The sequence below is a fragment of the Homo sapiens genome, chromosome 14 (genome assembly GCF_000001405.40).
Source record: "Homo sapiens chromosome 14, GRCh38.p14 Primary Assembly".
NCBI classification, from domain to species: domain Eukaryota; kingdom Metazoa; phylum Chordata; class Mammalia; order Primates; family Hominidae; genus Homo; species Homo sapiens.
The window spans coordinates 35,975,333-35,977,793 of record NC_000014.9 but is presented as its reverse complement, the minus strand read 5'-3'; the positions used below and the strand labels follow the sequence as shown (position 1 = coordinate 35,977,793).

At 56.1% G+C, this 2,461-nt stretch overlaps 1 annotated feature.

The window, feature by feature from the left end:
• Positions 1,044 to 1,698: an enhancer, noted in NCBI's record as "NANOG-H3K27ac hESC enhancer chr14:36445302-36445956 (GRCh37/hg19 assembly coordinates)". NCBI's record gives its function as "activates a minimal SCP1, AML or CMV promoter by ChIP-STARR-seq in primed H9 embryonic stem cells {active_cell/tissue: H9 hESC(primed)}" and the evidence as "EXISTENCE:reporter gene assay evidence [ECO:0000049][PMID:30033119]".

The following is a 2,461-nucleotide window of genomic DNA, read 5'->3' as shown; positions in this document are numbered from 1 at the left end:
CCCCGTCCGGGAGGGAGGTGGGGGGATCAGCCCCCAGCCGGGCCAGCCGCCCCGTCCGGGAGGTGAGGGGCGCCTCTGCCCGGCCGCCCCTACTGGGAAGTGAGGACCCCTCTGCCCGGCCAGCCGCCCCGTCCGGGAGGGAGGTGGGGGGGTCAGCCCCCCGCCCGGCCAGCCGCCCCGTCCGGGAGGGAGGTGGGGGGATCAGCCCCCAGCCGGGCCAGCCGCCCCGTCCGGGAGGTGAGGGGTGCCTCTGCCCGGCCGCCCCTACTGGGAAGTGAGGAGCCCCTCTGCCCGGCCAGCCGCCCCGTCCGGGAGGGAGGTGGGGGGGTCAGCCCCCCGCCTGGCCAGCCGCCCCATCCGGGAGGGAGGTGGGGGGGTCAGCCCCCCGCCCGGCCAGCCGCCCCGTCCGGGAGGGGGGAGGGGGGGTCAGCCCCCTGCCCGGCCAGCCGCCCTATCCAGGAGGTGAGGGGCGCCTCTGCCCGGCCGCCCCTACTGGGAAGTGAGGAGCCCCTCTGCCTGGCCAGCCGCCCCGTCCGGGAGGGAGGCGGGGGGGGGGGTCGGCCAGCCGCCCCGTCCGGGAGGGAGGTGGGGGGATCAGCCCCCCGCCCGGCCAGCCGCCCTATCCAGGAGGTGAGGGGCGCCTCTGCCCGGCCGCCCCTACTGGGAAGTGAGGAGCCCCTCTGCCTGGCCAGCCGCCCCGTCCGGGAGGGAGGCGGGGGGGGGGGGTCGGCCAGCCGCCCCGTCCGGGAGGGAGGTGGGGGGATCAGCCCCCCGCCCGGCCAGCCGCCCTATCCAGGAGGTGAGGGGCGCCTCTGCCCGGCCGCCCCTACTGGGAAGTGAGGAGCCCCTCTGCCTGGCCAGCCGCCCCGTCCGGGAGGGAGGTGGGGGGATCAGCCCCCCGCCTGGCCAGCCGCCCCGTCCGGGAGGTGAGGGGCGCCTCTGCCCGGCCGCCCCTACTGGGAAGTGAGGACCCCTCTGCCTGGCCAGCCGCCCTGTCCGGGAGGGAGGTGGGGGGGTCAGCCCCCCGCCCGGCCAGCCGCCCCATCCGGGAGGTGAGGAGCGCTTCTGCCCGGCCGCCCCTACTGGGAAGTGAGGAGCCCCTCTGCCCGGCCACGACCCCGTCTGGGAGGTGTGCCCAGCGGCTCATTGGGGATGGGCCATGATGACAATGGCGGTTTTGTGGAATAGAAAGGCGGGAAGGGTGGGGAAAAAATTGAGAAATCAGATGGTTGCCGGGTCTGTGTGGATAGGGAAGTAGACATGGGAGACTTTTCATTTTGTTCTGTACTAAGAAAAATTCTTCTGCCTTGGGATCCTGTTGATCTGTGACCTTATCCCCAACCCTGTGCTCTCTGAAACATGTGCTGTGTCCACTCAGGGTTAAATGGATTAAGGGCAGTGCAAGATGTGCTTTGTTAAACAGATGCTTGAAGGCAGCATGCTCGTTAAGAGTCATCACCACTCCCTAATCTCAAGTACCCAGGGACACAAACACTGCGGAAGGCCGCAGGGTCCTCTGCCTAGGAAAACCAGAGACCTTTGTTCACTTGTTTATCTGCTGACCTTCCCTCCACTATTGTCCTATGACCCTGCCAAATCCCCCTCTGCGAGAAACACCCAAGAATGATCAATAAAAAAAAAAAAATAAATAAATAAATAAATAAATACCTACGAGTAGAACGACTGCATCATAGAGTAGGTATATGCTTAACTGTTTTTCAAAGTGTTTGCATCATTTTACATTTCCACCAGCAATGTAACAGAGTCTCAGTTGATCCATATCCTCACCAACACTTGGTATGGTTGATCCTTTTAATGTTAGACATTCTAATATGTATGTAATATAATAGTATCAGTTGTGGTTTTCATTCCCATTTCCCTAACAACTAATGATGTTGGGCATTTTTTATGTACTTATTTATCGTTACATATCTTCTTTGATGACATGTCTGTTCAAATATTTTTAAAACAACTTTTAAAAAACAATTCTTTGTTTTTGTTTTTTGATAGATGTTCAAAAAGGCTATTTTCAACTCATTCCTTTGATTTTTTTTATTGTTGTGTTTTAAGAGATTTTTGTATATTCTAAATACAAGTCCTTTATCAGGTATGTGGATTGCAAATATTTTCTCCCAGTCTGTGGCTTATATTTTCATTCTCTTCACAGTGTTTTTTGAAGAGCAAACGTTCTTAATTTTAACGAAGACCAACTTACTGATTTTTATTTTTGGTGTTACACCTAAGAAATCTTTGCCTAATCCAAGGTCACAAAGGCTTTTGCCTATGTTTTTGTCTATATATTTTACAGCTTTAGGTTTTATATTTAGGTCTATGATCCATTTTGAGCTCGTATTTGTATATGGTACAAGTTATGAATTGTTATGTGGTCAGTTTTGGGTTTTGTTGATTATTTATTTATTATTTATTTTGCATACAAGTATCTAATTGTTCCAGTACCATT